The 17,050-nt window shown below is 39.0% G+C and overlaps 1 protein-coding gene across 62 annotated transcripts in view; it reads left to right on the top strand.

The window, feature by feature from the left end:
• The window catches only part of EIF4G3 (eukaryotic translation initiation factor 4 gamma 3), a 370,606-nt gene that overhangs the window by 337,388 nt on the left and 16,168 nt on the right, over positions 1 to 17,050 (top strand). For all 62 annotated transcript variants that reach the window (XM_047433321.1, XM_047433366.1, XM_047433324.1 and 59 more), the window contains 3 exons: positions 10,238 to 10,363; positions 11,812 to 11,893; positions 14,312 to 14,410. In XM_047433321.1, coding sequence (XP_047289277.1) covers positions 10,238 to 10,363; positions 11,812 to 11,893; positions 14,312 to 14,410 — 307 coding nt within the window. The remainder of the gene's footprint in view (positions 1 to 10,237; positions 10,364 to 11,811; positions 11,894 to 14,311; positions 14,411 to 17,050) is intronic.

The raw sequence follows: 17,050 nt of genomic DNA, 5'->3' as shown, positions 1-17,050 counted from the left end.
TTGTTGAATTTATTCGTTTGACTTTGCAAGCAATGACAGCGTTGTCTTCTAGGTCCTAGAAAATTTATACTTGCCCCTAGGACCATTAAAAAGTTTTCTTGCCAGGCGTGGTGACTCACGCCTGTAATCCCAGTATTTTGGGAGGCCGAGGTGGGCAGATCACGAGGTCAGGAGTTCGAGACCAGCCTGAACAACGTGGTGAAACCCCGTCTCTACTAAAAATATGAAAATTAGGCTGGGCACCGTAGCTCACACCTGTAATCCCAGCACTTTGGGAGGCCGAGGCGGGTGGATCACAAGGTCAGGAGATCGAGACCATCCTGGCTAACATGGTGAAACCCCGCCTCTACTAAAAATACAAAAAATTAGCCGGGCGTGGTGGCACGCACCTGTAATCCCAGCTACCCGGAGACCAAGGCAAGAGAATCTCTTGAACCAGGGAGGTGGAGGTTGCAGTGAGCTGAAATTGCGCCACTGCACTCCATTCTGGGCGACAGAGCAAGACTCCCTCTCAAAAAAGAAGTTTTCTTTCAGGCTGGGCATGGTGGCTCACACCTGTAATGCTAGCACTTTGGAAGGCTGAGGCAGGAAGATTGCTTGAGCCCAGGAGTTTAAGACCAGCCTGGGCAGCATGGTGAAACTCCATCTATACTAAAAATATAAAAATTAGCTAGGCATGGTGGTGTGCCGCTATAGTCCCAGCTACTTGGGAGGTTGAGGCAGAAGGATTGCACCTGGGAGGTCCAGACTGCAGTAAGCCATGATCACACCACTGCACTCCAGCCTAGGTGACAGAATGAGACCACGTCTGGGGAAAAAAAAAAGTTTTCTTTCAGCAATAAGCTAGATTGCTCTGAATTAAGGCCATTTGAACCAGTTAGTAAGACACTTTGGCAAAAGTTGCTGTGGTTATTGGTTTTTAAGGCCAGGATGGTTTCCCAGTTTTAAAAGAGAAGCCTCCAATTCAGTCCAGTAACTAGCCAGTGCAAATGGTAAGAGCAAATAAAGGTATGTACACCCTCACAATCAGATTGAATATGGTCCTCCCAGCAGACTTGAAACTATAATTTCCTAGAAATAATACTGTTGGAGTGACGAGGATATCCATTTATAAATAGTTACTTATTACCCAGATATTATGCTACATTCCTCAGAAAATTCTGGAAATGATAATGGTAAATTATCATTTACCATTTTCTGTCTCTTCAAACTATACTCGGAAGTTGATTCATATCTATAAAGATGCCCAGAAGCATAGTCTACCTTTATTGGCTATAATTGAACTTGTGAGATACTAGCTTAGTCTCTCGGATATCTCAGACATTTGCATTTCTCCCTTTGTGGGATTCTCTGAAGAAAAAATATCATAACCAGACGTGGCTACAGTTTTGTTGTTGGTGTTAGAATTGCTGTTGCCGGCAATAATTACCACACTACTACCTTTTATTTAGACATAAAATGAGGTTAACACTTCTGTGTCTCAGCAATTACTTCATGTTTCACCATACCTGCTTCCGTCTGCAGCTAGAGGCAGTGCAGTGACTCCAGGCCTAACCTTCGATGCTTAGACCTAACCAGTCTTGGACCTTAGACCAAGACATGTAAAAGTTGTACTATTTTATTCTAAATGGAGAGGCCTGACAATTTAGTGCCACCTTTTTCTAAGAGGGAAATGTAGGGATTGCTTCATGTCAGTGTCCACCAAGAGCTTTCTTGCAAGCAGATCAGAATTTCACAATCCCTTCTAAAGCCTGAGTTATAAATGGTTCATACTGTCTAGAGAGGCCATTTCATTGGAGCCATGAAGATACCCTGTCTTTTGCTTCTTTATTCTTAACCTACAAAGATAGTATTGTCCTTCCATAGTATTGTGGAAGAGCCTCTGAGATCAGCTGTTTTGGGTGCTGCTACTGCTTAGATGTCAACTTCTGAACAGTTGGGGAAGCAGTTTCTGCCTAGCTCGCCAAGCCAATGATAACTCTGGGAAGGTTAGAAAGCAGAAAGCCAGCCAGGCGCGGTGGCTCACGCCTGTAATCCCAGCACTTTGGGAGGCCGAGGCAGGTGGATCACGAGGTCAGGAGATCGAGACCATCCTGGCTAACATGGTGAAACCCCGTCTCTGCTAAAAATACAAAAATTAGCTGGGCATGGTGGCGCATGCCTGTAATCCCAGCTGCTCGGGAGGCTGAGACAGGAGAATTGCTTGAACCAGGGAGTCAGAGGTTGCAGTGAGCTGAGATTGTGCCATGGCACTCCAGCCTGGCAACAGAGACTCCTTCTCAAAAAAAAAAAGAAAAGCAGAAAGCCTCCAGGTATACTGGTCCCTGGTGAGGTAGCTACTAATCTGCCATTTCTCCCTATAGCTCTTTAGAGTATGCACTGCTGCAAAGTAGTAAAATAGACAAAAGTTTCAAATAGGCTTTATGAATATAGCTTTTAGGTCCTTTGGAATTTTCCTTACAAGATGTTATATCAACTGTGAGCATAATAGTTGCTGTATGTGAAACATATCTCCGCAAAGAAAACATCAAGCCATCGTCCTGATATTTTCAGGACTTGAATCTAAATACTTTATGACCCTAGTTAGGTTGGTAGGTAGATAGGTAGAAGCATTATTGTATAGGTACATGCACTTCAAACAGTGTGTTGATAGTCTTTTTATATCATGATTTCAGAAAACTTCTTTTTAAAAACTGTCTAGTAAATATAGTTGAGTGCAGTTTGCTGTTAGTCACAGAACTGGAATGACTTTGAAAGTATAATAAACAAATGAAGACCAAGGTTGTAAAAATTAGAGTGGACAATAGACACAAAATATGTACCCTAGAGGAAGATTGATACATTAATATTTCACTTTGGGAGATGTTTTGTTAGAGAGGAAATTCTTATCTCTTCCTTGAATACTTTTCTGGAACCTTTATTACTGCTTACGGCAATTCTACATTGGTAAAAGACCCTATGTAGGCTGGACACAGTGATTCATTCCTGTAATCTCAGCTACCAGGGAGGCTAAGATGGGAGGATGGCTTAAGGCCAGGAGTTCAAGACCAGCCTGGGCAACATAGCAAGACCCCATCTGTAAAAAAAATTAACAAAAAAATTGGCTGTGCATGGTGGCACGTGCCAATAATTACAGCTACTTGGGAGGCTGAGGCAGGAAGATTGCTTGAGCCCGGGAGTTCAAGCTGTAGTGAACTGCGAGAGCATCACTGCACCCCAGCCTGGGCAACAGAGTGAGATCCTATCTTTAAAAATAAAAAACACTTTGGGAGGCCAAAGTGGGCAAATTGCTTGAGCCTAGGAGTTTGAGACTAGCCTGGGCAACATGGTGAAACCCTATCTCTACCAAAAAATACAAAAACTCTCTGGGCATGGTGGTGGGTGCCTATAGCTGCAGCTACTCAGGAAGCTGAGGTAGGAGGATTGCCATACTGATCTTGTAAAATGACTTGGGAAGTATTTTCTCCACTTCAATTTTTTGGAAGAATTTGAGAAGAATTTGTTCTTCTTCAAGTGTTTGGTAGAATTCAGCAGTGAAGCCATCTAGTCCTGGGCTTTTTTTTTTTTCTCTCTGAGATAGGGTCTTGCTCTGTCACCCAGGTTGGAGTGCAGTGGCTTCATCGTGGCTCACTGCAACCTCAACCTCCTGGGCTCAAGTGATCCTCCCATCTCAACCTCTCAAGTAGCTGGGACAGTAGGTGCATGCCACTGTGCTCAGCTGATTTTTTATTTTTTGTAGAGATGGTGTCTCACTATGTTGCCCAGGCTGGTCTTGCACTCCTAGACAAATGATCCTTCCACCTTGGCCTCTCAAAGTGCTGGGATTACAGGTTTAAGGCAGTGCACCTGGCCATGATTCAGTCTTGATTTGTTGTATATATCTATGAGTTTATCTGTTTTTTTCTAGATTATCCATTTATTGTTCATAGTAGTTTCTTATGATCCTTTGTATTTCTGTGGTATCAGTTGTAATATCTCCTCTTTCATTTCTTATTTTGAGTCTTCTGTCTTTTCTCCTAGTCTAGATAAGGGTTTCTTGATTTTCTTCATTTTTCCAAAAATACAACTCCGAGTATCATTGATTTTTTTCTTTCATTTTTTAAGTGTCTATTTCATTTATTTCTGTTTAGATGTTTGTTATTTCCTTCCCTGTGCTAATTTGGGGCTTAGTTTGTTCTTCTTTTTCTAGTTCCTTGATGTGTAATGAATGGTATATTGTTTGAGATCTTTTTTCTTTTTTGATATAGATGCTCATTGCTATACATTTCCCTCTTAGGAGCACTTTTGCTGCATTCTATAAGTGTCGGTATGTTGTGTTTCCATTTTCATTTGTCTCAAGATATTTTTTAAAAATTCCTTTCTAATTTCTTCTGTGACCTATTGGTTGTTTAGGCAGATGTTGTTTAATATTCACATATTTGGATATTTTCCAAGGTTTCTCCTGTTAACTGAGTTCAAGTTTTATTGCATTGTGATCCAAAAAGATACTTGATATGATTTCAGTCCTCTTAAATTTGTTAAGTCTTGTTTTGTGGTCTAACATATGATCTATTGGGGAGAATGTTTTATTTGCACTTTAGAAGAATATGTATTCTGCTGCTGTTTAATGGAATGTTCTGTATATTTTTGTTTGGTTTAAAGTATAATTCAAGCCCAATGTTTCCTTACTGATTTTCTGTCTAGATGAGTTGTTCATTGTCTAAAGAAGGGTATTGAGGTCCCCTGCTCTTGCTGTATTGTAGTCTGTCTTTCCCTTCAGATAATCAATTGCCCTATGTTTTTAGGTACTCCAATTTGAGGTGCATATGTATTTATAACTGTTATATCCTCTTAGTAAATGGATTCCTTTATCATTACATAATGACCTTTGTCTCTTTTTATAGTTTTTGACTTAATGTCCTTTTTGTCTCATATAAGTATAGCTACCCCTGCCCTCTTTTGATTTCTATTTTCATGAAATATCTTTTTCCTTCTCTTCCTTTTCAGTCTATGAATGTCCTTAGTAGTAAAGTGAATCTCTTATAAGCAGCATATGGTTGGATCTCATTTTTCATTTATTTATTTTTTAGATTTTGTGAGAGTCACACTCTCTCACCCAGGCTGGAGTGCAGTGGCGCAATCAAGGCTCACTGCAACCTCTACCTTCTGGACTCAAGCAATCCTCCTGGGTAGTTGGGACCACAGCCATGCATCATGATGCCTGGCTAATTTTTTTTATTTTTTTATAGAGACAGATTCTCCCTACAATGCCCAGGCTGGTCTCCAACAACTAGGCTCAATTGATCCTCCTGCCTTGACCTCTTCAAGTGTTGGGATTACAGGCATGAGCCATTGCGCCTGGCCGGATCTTATTTTTTAATCTATTTAGCCACTCAGTCTTTTGATTGGAAAATTTAATCCATTTACATGTGACATAATTATTGATAGATAAGGACTTGCTACTGCCATTTTGTAATTTGTTTTCTGGTTATTTTTGACAATACCACTTTCAATTGTGGTAGCATTATTTTGCTTTTTTGAAAGATTTCTTATCAGAACTTTACTGCGTTAAAATTTTTAAATATTTTTCTTCCAACACTATGTTGAATAGGAGTGGTGAGAGAGGGCATCCCTGTCTTGTGCCCGTTTTCAAAGGGAATGCTTCCAGTTTTTGCCCATTCAGTATGATATTGGCTGTGGGTTTGTCATAGATAGCTCTTATTATGTTGAAATACGTCCCATCAATACCTAATTTATTGAGAGTTTTTAGCATGAAGCGTTGTTGAATTTTGTCAAAGGCTTTTTCTGCATCTATTGATATAATCATGTGGTTTTTGTCTTTGGCTCTGTTTATATGCTGGATTACATTTATTGATTTCCTATTCAACATAGTGTTGGAAGTTCTGGCCAGGGCAATTAGGCAGGAGAAGGAAATAAAGGGTATTCAGTTAGGAAAAGGGAAGTTAAATTGTCCCTGTTTGCAGACGACATGATTGTATATCTAGAAAACCCCTTTGTCTCAGCCCAAAATCTCCTTAAGCTGATAAGCAACTTCAGCAAAGTCTCAGGATACAAAATCAATGTACAAAAATCACAAGCATTCTTATACACCAACAACAGACAGAGAGCCAAATCATGAGTGAACTCCCATTCACAATTGCTTCAAAAAGAATAAAATACCTAGGAATCCAACTTACAAGGGACTTGAAGGACCTCTTCAAGGAGAACTACAAACCACTGCTCAAGGAAATAAAAGAGGATACAAACAAATGGAAGAACATTCCATGCTCATGGGTAGGAAGAATCAATATCGTGAAAATGGCCATACTGCCCAAGGTAATTTACAGATTCAGTGCCATCCCCATCAAGCTACCAATGACTTTCTTCACAGAATTGGAAAAAACTACTTTAAAGTTCATATGGAACCAAAAAAGAGCCCGCATCGCCAAGTCAATCCTAAGCCAAAAGAACAAAGCTGGAGGCATCACACTACCTGACTTCAAACTATACTACAAGGCTACAGTAACCAAAACAGCATGGTACTGGTACCAAAACAGAGATATAGATCAATGGAACAGAACAGAGCCCTCAGAAATAACGCCGCATATCTACAACTATCTGATCTTTGACAAACCTGAGAAAAACAAGCAATGGGGAAAGGATTCCCTATTTAATAAATGGTGCTGGGAAAACTGGCTAGCCATATGTAGAAAGCTGAAACTGGATCCCTTCCTTACACCTTATACAAAAATCAATTCAAGATGGATTAAAGACTTAAACGTTAGACCTAAAACCATAAAAACCCTAGAAGAAAACCTAGGCATTACCATTCAGGACATAGGCACGGGCAAGGACTTCATGTCTAAAACATCAAAAGCAATGGCAACAAAAGACAAAATTGACAAATGGGATCTAATTAAACTAAAGAGCTTCTGCACAGCAAAAGAAACTACCATCAGAGTGAACAGGCAACCTACAAAATGGGAGAAAATTTTCGCAACCTACTCATCTGACAAAGGGGCTAATATCCAGAATCTACAATGAACTCAAACAAATTTACAAGAAAAAAACAAACAACCCCATCAAAAAGTGGGTGAAGGACATGAACAGACACTTCTCAAAAGAAGACATTTATGCAGCCAAAAAACACATGAAAAAATGCTCATCATCACTGGCCATCAGAGAAATGCAAATCAAAACCACAATGAGATACCATCTCACACCAGTTAGAATGGCAATCATTAAAAAGTCAGGAAACAACAGGTGCTGGAGAGGATGTGGAGAAATAAGAACACTTTTACACTGTTGGTGGGACTGTAAACTAGTTCAACCATTGTGGAAGTCAGTGTGGCGATTCCTCAGGGATCTAGAACTGGAAATACCATTTGACCCAGCCATCCCATTACTGGGTATATACCTAAAGGACTATGAATCATGCTGCTGTAAAGACACATGCACACGTGTGTTTATTGCGGCATTATTCACAATAGCAAAGACTTGGAACCAACCCAAATGTCCAACAATGATAGACTGGATTAAGAAAATGTGGCACATATACACCATGGAATACTATGCAGCCATAAAAAATGATGAGTTCATGTCCTTTGTAGGGACATGGATGAAATTGGAAATCATCATTCTCAGTAAACTATCGCAAGAACAAAAAACCAAACACCGCATATTCTCACTCATAGGTGGGAATTGAACAATGAGATCACATGGACACAGGAAGGAGAATATCACACTCTGGGGACTGTTGTGGGGTCGGGGGAGGGGGGAGGGATAGCATCGGGAGATATACCTAATGCTAGATGACGAGTTAGTGGGTGCAGCACACCAGCATGGCTCATGTATACATATGTAACTAACCTGCACAATGTGCACATGTACCCTAAAACTTAAAGTATAAAAAAAAAAAAGAAAAAGTAAGATGATTGGAAGGAAAACAATAAAATGATCCTTATTTTCTGGTAACATAAAAAAAAAAAAAGAAAAATGCAAAGGCAAAGAATCGATCAGGTTGGCAGAAGCTGTTCCCTGGCTTATGGGCAGGAGGGAGCTGGTGAGGCTTTGGAAATTCTATTGCTAACACTAACACGGGAGATCTTTCTGGCCTTTCTGGTTTTGGCAATGGCTCTTTTTCTCCTGCCTTCTAAGGTACTACAGGAAAAAATATTTCCTCTACCTCCATCCCACATTGCCCAGGAACATTTTAAAGATTGAAGGCTTTCTCAAAAAAAAAAAAAAAAAAATTAATATTTTTCTTTTAATCATGTATCCCTTTCTTCAATTAAAATTTTACACAAAAACCCAGTAAATAAAATGAAGTGGAGCTTTTGTAGTTGAAATGGGCGGAGGGATATCTGCAGTCTCATCTATGTAGACCTTACCAAAGTTCAGTCCAGTGGCTGTGGTTTTTTCCTTCCACCCAAAGAAAAGCCTGACAGTCCAATGACTGTGATGGTCACTACATGCCAAGAGGCAAGGGTATGATGTAGCTCTGTTTCATTTTTTCAGCTTTTAGAAAATAACGTGTGGTGCAAAGCATTAATATAGGCTATGTAGTAGTGCAAAGACATAAAGACAGTTATTACCTAGGTGCTTCAGCACACTCAAGATTTTTCTTTTAGAATCATGCAACAGGATTTAAGAACTGTAAACCTGAAAAAAAAATAAGCTTCTTACAGGCTTGTTCTATGGAAATCCTATGTTCAGCCAAAAAAGTTTTTTGTTAGCAGTATAGATTTGACCACTGATTGTGTTCTGTGGACTGTCCCATGATGAACTGACTGATCAAGGCATAAAAAACCAAAGCAAGAATATGGGTATATTTTATTTGTAATGAGATAAAATATATGAGATAAAAATAGCAGCAGGTACACTGCTGAAAGACCAGCATGGCTACAGTTGTCTCTTGGGCCCATTAAACAGCTTAATTTATGCTGCTAGCCCACAGAGCATGAGTTGGCAGGATCAGGTGGTTAACCTAGAAATCCTGGAGTCCAGCTAGATTATATTTCATCAGTGGTACATTAACTGAACCCAAAGTATGCACATAATGAGAGAACCTGCAATTATTTGACATCTATTTGCCATAGCACAGACACCGTCCTCGGCATCAAATAATTGCAAGCTGTGAGGTCAGAAAGTTGGAATTAAGGATTCATGAAGCCCAGAGTTAGATAATATGGCTGAGCTGCAAACTGTTTTGAAGTGGCAGCTTCAGAATGGTGACCCTGCCTATGGTGGTAGCTCTTTTTAAGTGAAAAGTTTTAGTGAGATGTAGGCCTCTGAAAAAAGGGTGGCATACTTTGGCTAGAACCTGGAACTGCAGTGGAAAAGCACACGTTTTACAATTGTAGAGATCTGAAAGGGCATGCATACAATTACCACCTGCTCTTAGCTCTTCAATTCATTCCTCCCTTTCCTTATGACTTGCAATTATGTGTATGTCTCCTGTAGTTAAATTCATTTGCTTTTGTACTTTATTATATATTGTATGTGGAAATAATTAACAAAGTCTTGAGTTGTTTGTTTATACTTCCAAATGAACAGCTATGATTTTTAGCCTACATAAGAGTGCTGGTATTTTATATTTGATTTTCCTAAGTTTTATATTTAATTCCCATTTGCTTGACATTGAGAAATATTTATAATTCATAGCACAAAAGCCTGAAACCATTAGCTTTTCTGTAGAGATAGAACAGTTCGTAACATGTAATAATGATGATAGTGTTAGTAATGTTGCCAGACTCTTTTATATCCATCCAGTTTTTTCCCCATTGTAAGATTCCTCAAGGACACAGATTTTTGTGTTTTACAGTAAGTGTTTAGTCAGTGCTTTTGACTGACTCAGAGAATATGATATTCAACTGTGGTGAATTCTTTATAGTGCAGGATTAAATGGATAATTTTTCCCCTAGAACTTCACAGGACTGTCCTTCTTTTCATCATTTAAGGCTTTCAAATGTCACCTTTATATGGAGGTATTTTCTGACCTCCTTCTTGTACATAGTTCATGTTCTTCAGAGTATTAGCCCTATTTGCAAGTATGCTTTTGTCTGTTCTAGTCTTTTTCCCCCACGCTAACATAATCTCTTTGAGAATGGTAATGTATTTACCAGTCACTTTGTGGCTAGACTGTACCTAACATAGCAGGTGATTAATATGTATTTGTTGACTGATTTTTTATCTCTTTATTTAATTTTAACTTTTGAATTACATTTGCATGTGATTTTTACCCCCTGTTCCTTTTCAGTTTTTCAGAAACTTTGGAATTGGCAGATGACATGGCCATTGATATTCCCCATATTTGGTTGTACCTTGCTGAACTGGTGACCCCCATGTTAAAAGAAGGTGGAATCTCCATGAGAGAACTTACCATGTAAGTTATACTTGTTTCTCTTGATATATATCAGGTAGAACTGACTAATAACTCACTTGCTAGCTCTCTATCATAGTACTGTCCCATTATCGCCTTTGGAGACTCATGAATGCAGGCTGTGACTCTTTAAGACTTCTGATTTCAGTGTAAAAATGTTACCTTATGCTAGGTCTACACCTGAGATATTCTGGGGATATGATAGCCCTGTGGTCTGTTGAGGGTAGTGGCGATGATAGATTGGCTCCAGAATCGTGTAACTGGAAGATGACTGCTTCTAGAAGCTTAATGTTCATCTGGCTTTTGTGTCTATCATTGCAGTAGTGCTGTAAGTAGTTATATTTTCCCATTGTAACTTGTCAGACTGCATTACCCCATAGTACATGCTCATGATTATAATAAAAGGATGATTATAATAAAACAAACTGAGATCTCAAGTATTCCTACGTTTGGATGTGAGTGGGGAATGGATGCTACGTTATATAGACCGGTGGTTCCCAAACTCTGTTCTTCGAAACACTAGTGTTTCCACAAAAGTTGTTTATATAGTCAAACTTTGCACATGGTCATGTCCCTTTTCTTTGAGATTAACAAAACATACTTAGCATATTAAAGTTTATGACAGTCCTATAGTAAAGCAATAAATAAAAACTAGTTAGCTTTGTTTAATTCAGCATTGCCTCACTTAGAGTATAGATATCCTATGGAACACAGTTTGGTAAATGCTGATTTAGACTGTTACAAAATTGGCCCCTTTGCTGTTTCATCCATAATTTCATCTATAAAGAAAAGCTTCCTTTCTTAAAAATACTTTATATATGGCCAGACGCAATAGCTTACACCTGTAATCCCAGCACTTTGGGAGGCCGAGGCAGGCGGATCACAAGGTCAGGAAATCAAAACCATCCTGGCCAACATGGTGAAACCCTGTCTCTACTAAAATGCAAAAATTATCTGGGCATGGTGTTACGTGCCTGTAATCCCAGCTACTTGGGAAGCTGAGGCAGGAGAATCGCTTGAACCAGGGAATTGGAGATTGCAGTGAGCCAAGATTGCGCCACTGCACTCCAGCCTGGCGACAGAGTGAGACTCTGTCTCAAAAAAAAAAAAAAAAAAAAAACTTTATAAAAGCATCACAACTCCCTGTTACCTAAGGTGCTTCTCATTTTAGCTTGAAGCAGAACTTACATAAACAAACAGATTACCACATCTGATCTTTGTGTTGCTTCTGTCACTGAAGTGGTTAAAGAAAAAGGTAAAAACCAAGAACTCACATGTACCTTTTCAGGAACTTCTCCTGAAAATGACTTAGAGCATGTCCTGGAGCTTTGGCTTGCCCAGTATTATGTAGGTTGCACAGTATCTGGTTTTTGGTCACACATTGTTTGCCTCTTGTTCTAGAAGAAAGGATTTCTTTAGAGATACTTAATCACTGCTCCTATCTTTTACAGAGAATTTAGCAAACCTTTACTTCCTGTTGGAAGAGCTGGGGTCTTGCTATCTGAAATATTGCACCTACTATGCAAACAAATGGTGAGTGTTACACTGAGTGTCAGACTCAACAGTATTATTAGGAAGGGCAGTGATCTTGATCTTGGGTTATCTGTGAATAGCTTAGGTCTCAGGGTGCAAGTAATTAAGAATGAGGTCTCTGCTTCAACCCAGTTTCTTTCTGAGGTGCATTTGTCCTTCTGTTTGCTAATATCTTGGGGCAGAATTATCAAATCTCGACTAGATTTGGTATAATTCTAAAGAATCTCAAGTCATGTTTTATTTGTAGTTGATTTTTTCTTCCTTTGAAACAAAATGGATATATCATTTATATGTTTTAATAGATTTCAACGAAAAGCTCCATAGAGCTGGAGGCTGTCAGTCTATGGCAGGCTGTCAGTCTATAAAGTGGGAACAGATAAATCTAAACCAATAATTTCAAAAGAGTGAAAGTGCTTTGTTAGAAGTCTAAGAGGTTTGGGGAAGTGTTGTGGCATCACAAAGGGAATAAAATGTCTAGGATGAGAGGGATGAGAGATGTCAAAACAAAACAGAACTCAGAAATGAAGATTCTGGAGTGATTTCTGACTTACTTACGCCTGACTCAAAGATATTGGATGATAGATTTTAATGTTTAAAGTCAGTGTTTCATTCCTCCCTCTGATACAGAAGTCCTTCTGTATCCCATTTGTGTGGTAGTTATTCATAAACAGATGTACTAAATATCCTGGTCTCTAGTTCTGTTGACTATTTGTTAATACTACTCTTTGCTTAATGGCACTAAAATTTTTACTGAACCCTAGTTTTTATGTCCAAAATTTCCTCCTCTCCGACCTACTTGACTTTAGTCCTTATTTAAAACTCACATTCTGGCCGGGCGCAGTGATTCACACCTGTAATCCCAGCACTTTGGGAGGCCAAGGTGGGCAGATCACGAGGTTAAGAGATCGAGACCATCCTGGCCAACATGGTGAAACCCTGTCTCTACTAAAAATACAAAAATTAGCCAGGCATGGTGGCACGCACCTGTAGTCCCAGCTACTTAGGAGGCTGAGGCAGGAGAATAGCTTGAACCCGGGAGGCAGAGGTTGCAGTTAGCCGAGATCATGCCACTGCGCTCCAGCCTGGCAACAGAGCAAGACTCTGTCTCAAAAAAAAAAAAAAAAAAAAAAAAAAAGAAAGACTCACATTCTGGCTGGCACAGTGGCTCACGCCTGTAATCCCAGCACTTTGGGAGGCCGAGGCGGGTGGATCACTTGAGGTCAGGAGTTGGAGACCAGTCTGGCCAACATGGCAAAATCCCATCTCTACTAAAAATACAAAAATTAGCCAGGCATGGTGACAGGCACCTGTAATCCCAGCTACTTGGGAGGCTGAGGCAGGAGAATCGCTTGAATCTGGGAGGTGGAGGTTGGAGTGAGCCAAGATTGTGCCACTGCATTTCAACCTGAGCTACAGAGAGAGACTCTGTCTCAAAAATTAATAATAATAACTAAAAACTCACATTCTTATTAACTTTGATGTGTAGAAACAGCACAACCCTACTTCCAAATAAAACTAAATTCTCATATAGTATAAGCTTTGGAGCCAGATGGCCGAGTTCAAATTCTGGTTCAACTATATTTTCAGCTATGCCTTGGACAAGTTACTCTATGAAGTAATTAATACATACCTCTCAGATGACAGCAACAGCCTCAAACCTGGCATTTTCCGTTGTCACTGTAACTTTCTTCAGGTAGAGGACTTGTACCTCTTCACTTTTTTCTACCTGACAACAGCTCTTCTTTATTCTCTCTCTTGGGCTCAACCTTGTGCTTCTTGCCCTTGAAACACTTCTCATTCCTGGTTCAGGAGCAACAACTGCTTTAAGCCTCCTTGTATCAGGCAGCATGGCTGTGATCTATTATGAAGAGGGATTCTAGTGAGGCTTCTTGAATGGCTTTAATAGCAGATACATACAGAGCTATCTAGGAAAAGACACAGTGTGGAATTTATAAACTCTGTGTATTGGACTTTTTTTGATGTTTATAAATCCCAAATAACCAGCTGTAGCTCCCCAGATTAGTCACCTCATAAATCAATTATTTAATCTTAAGCAGCTGTACTTCAATTATTCACCATTGTATTTATGTGCATTCAGACATCTTAGTTTGAAAGTCACAAGTCTTAAGAGATTAACTTTTTATCAGTGAGGAAAAGTTTGTTTTCGAGACTGGTCTTGCTGTGTGTGTTGCCTGGGCCAGACCTCATACTCCTGGGTGAAAGCTGTCTTCCCACCTCAGCCTCCCTAGTAGCTAGGACTATACAGGTGTGCACCACCATGCCCTGCTGGAAACGTTTTGATTTTTCAGCTTTTTGGGGTTTGCACTGTTTGACTTCAAGCAAATCTTTTTTTTTTTTTTTTTTTCTGTTTCTTCTTCCACTGTGAAAGTAAATGGATTGGATTTATCTCTATTTTAGAGCCATAAGAAAGTGGGAGCCTTATGGAGGGAGGCTGACCTCAGCTGGAAGGACTTTTTACCAGAAGGAGAAGATGTACATAATTTTCTTTTGGAGCAGGTAAGAACAAGGCTTATGTTTTGCTGTTTGATAGTAGTTGATCTATTTCATAGAGGAAGTGAAGGTAATTTCCTTCGTATTCCAGTCGTTAAAATTGCATCAAAATAGGAATCTTGGTAAAGATGTCCTTTTAAGTTCATGCTTTTAAAGCCACTCCAACTGTGTGGTCATCAGATGATTGATATTTAAAAAAAGAAAATGTAAAAGACTTAGCAACCTATAGAAAAACAAGCTACAGCAAGCAGAAATGAAGTTAACAAATAAAGCAGGGTGACAGGGCCAAAGCTGTCTCCTGATTTCTGGGTCTGATGGCAGGCCAGAAGCAGCCAGAAGTTATTCTGTGGGGAATGGAGACCATTAATACCCTTATAAGGTAGAAGATTAGAGACAAGCTTATAGCTTGAAACTACACAGGTAAATAAGTGCAAGGAAGTAGACACAGTCTTATACCCAGAACCTTAGCTATCCTGCCTACTGACTGGTAACTAGATCCAGAAATCTACAAAACAGAAGACCCCATGATCAGTATAATCTGGTCCTATAGGAGGATTTGTGGGCTGTTAGGTTGAGGTAACCATAAAACAAATTAGATCAAGAAAAGTAACAGAAAGAAAACAAAACTCTCTCAAAACGTTACTGAAAATCAAAATCCTAAAACTCATGAGGAAAACTAAAGCTAAGACAGCCAACAAAATCAGGAATAAGGAGAAAAAAAATCACCATAGGTAAAAAGAGAACAAGAATGCAATCTGAAAATGACTTTAAAATAAGTATTTTGTTCTGGATAAAGATATTATATTAGGTTGCTACAGACATTAGCTTTCTTTTTGGTTGTAGTCTGGAACACTGAAGAGCATTCTTGCCACAGCAATAAGAACCTGCATGAAGCATAACTTCTGATGTGTTACTGGACTTAGAAGAGGTGGAAGTAATTTCCTTCAAAGGGACAAAAAGAATTAATGAGGGGGAAAAGCCAGAGATGAAACCTGAACTGTGAATAGTAATTACATGTGAAGGGCATATTGCCCAAAGGACACATAGCCCAGTGGGAAGATACTATTACAAATGCTGTCAGATGTCATGGAAAAAGTTGACTTAGTCCCAGTTCAGTATTACCTTGGCTCCCAGAAGCAGCAAATCAAAATGCTCTTTGGAGAAACATCCTCAACTTAGGTCCCCTTATTTTCTACAAATCCAAATTATTTAAATATATGAGTTGACACTTGGTGTTCATTTAACATACAATTAAAGAAGTAAAGATAAAAGTAAACAGACAATAAGTAGTAGATTTAGACCCCATGGACTTGAGGTAATGGAATTATCATTCAGAGTATAAAATAACACTATAGTAAAAGAAAGAATCACAAAAATGAGCAAACAAGAGACTAGTCAAAATGGTTAAAGAGATTTGAAAAGAAAAGAAAAGGTTGGGTGCAGTGGCTCATGCCTATAATCCTAGCACTTTGGGAGGCTGAAGCAAGAGAATCTCTTGAAGCCAGGAGTTGGAGATCAGCCTGAACAACATAGTGAGACCTGTCTCTACTAAAAAAAAATAGCTAGGTGTATTGGTGCACCTGTAGTCGTAAGCTACTCGAGAGACTGAGGCAGAAGGATCACTAGAGCGTGGGAGTTTAAGGCTGCAGTGAGATACGATCACACCACTGCACTCCAACCTGAGAGACAAAGTGAGAGCCTATCAAAAATAAAAAATAAAATAAATAAACAAAAGCCACACACACACACACCAAAATCTGTAGGTAGCTATCTAAGATATGTTAATATGTTAGGAGATTTGGAGGAAAGAATGAGAGAACATCTAACCTATCTAATTGGAGTCCCAGAAGGAAAATTAGCCTAAATGGAGAAGAGGCAATATTTGAAGAGACAGTGGCTGAGACTTCTAGAAGTGATAAAATATACAAATCTATAATGAAAGCCCATATATGCAATACAGGATAATTATATTTTAGTGAAACTGCATAATACCAAAGACAGATGAAAGATTTTAAAGAAGCTGGGAAGAAGAAGCACATTACTTACCTGCCTCCCCCTCAAAAAAAAAATACACAAAAAATTAGACTTTGCAGTAGCAACCATGAAAGCCAGAAGATGGTAGAATAATCTCAGAGTGCTGAGAAACGAGCAGTAAATGTAGAATTCCCTGTGCAGCTGAACTAACCTTTAAGAATTAGGGCAATGCATACTGAGAAACTTAACAACATACTTCTAAATACCCATGGGTCAAAGAAGAAATCAAACATGATAGTAAAAAACATTTTTAACTGAATGAAAACAAAACCACAACATATCATCGATATTTAGAAAAGAAGAAAGGTCAATAACCTCAGCTTCAACCTTAAAGAATTAGAAAAATAAGGCCAGACACAATGGCTCATGCCTATAATCCCAACACTTTGGGAGGCCAAGGCAGGAAGATTGCTTGAGCCCAGGAGCTTGAGAGACCAGCCCAGGCAACAGAGCAAGACCCTATCACCAAAAAAAAAAAAAAAAGAAATTAGAACAATAAGAACAAATGAAGCTCCAAGCAAATAGAATAAAGGAAATAATAAACATTATATCAGAAATCAATGAAATAGAAAAATTTTTAGAGAAAGACCAGTGAAATCAAAAGCTGGTTCT

This window comes from Homo sapiens, chromosome 1, assembly GCF_000001405.40.
Source record: "Homo sapiens chromosome 1, GRCh38.p14 Primary Assembly".
NCBI classification, from domain to species: domain Eukaryota; kingdom Metazoa; phylum Chordata; class Mammalia; order Primates; family Hominidae; genus Homo; species Homo sapiens.
The sequence above is the reverse complement of the archived record's forward strand: the minus strand, read 5'-3'. Positions and strand labels throughout refer to the sequence as shown.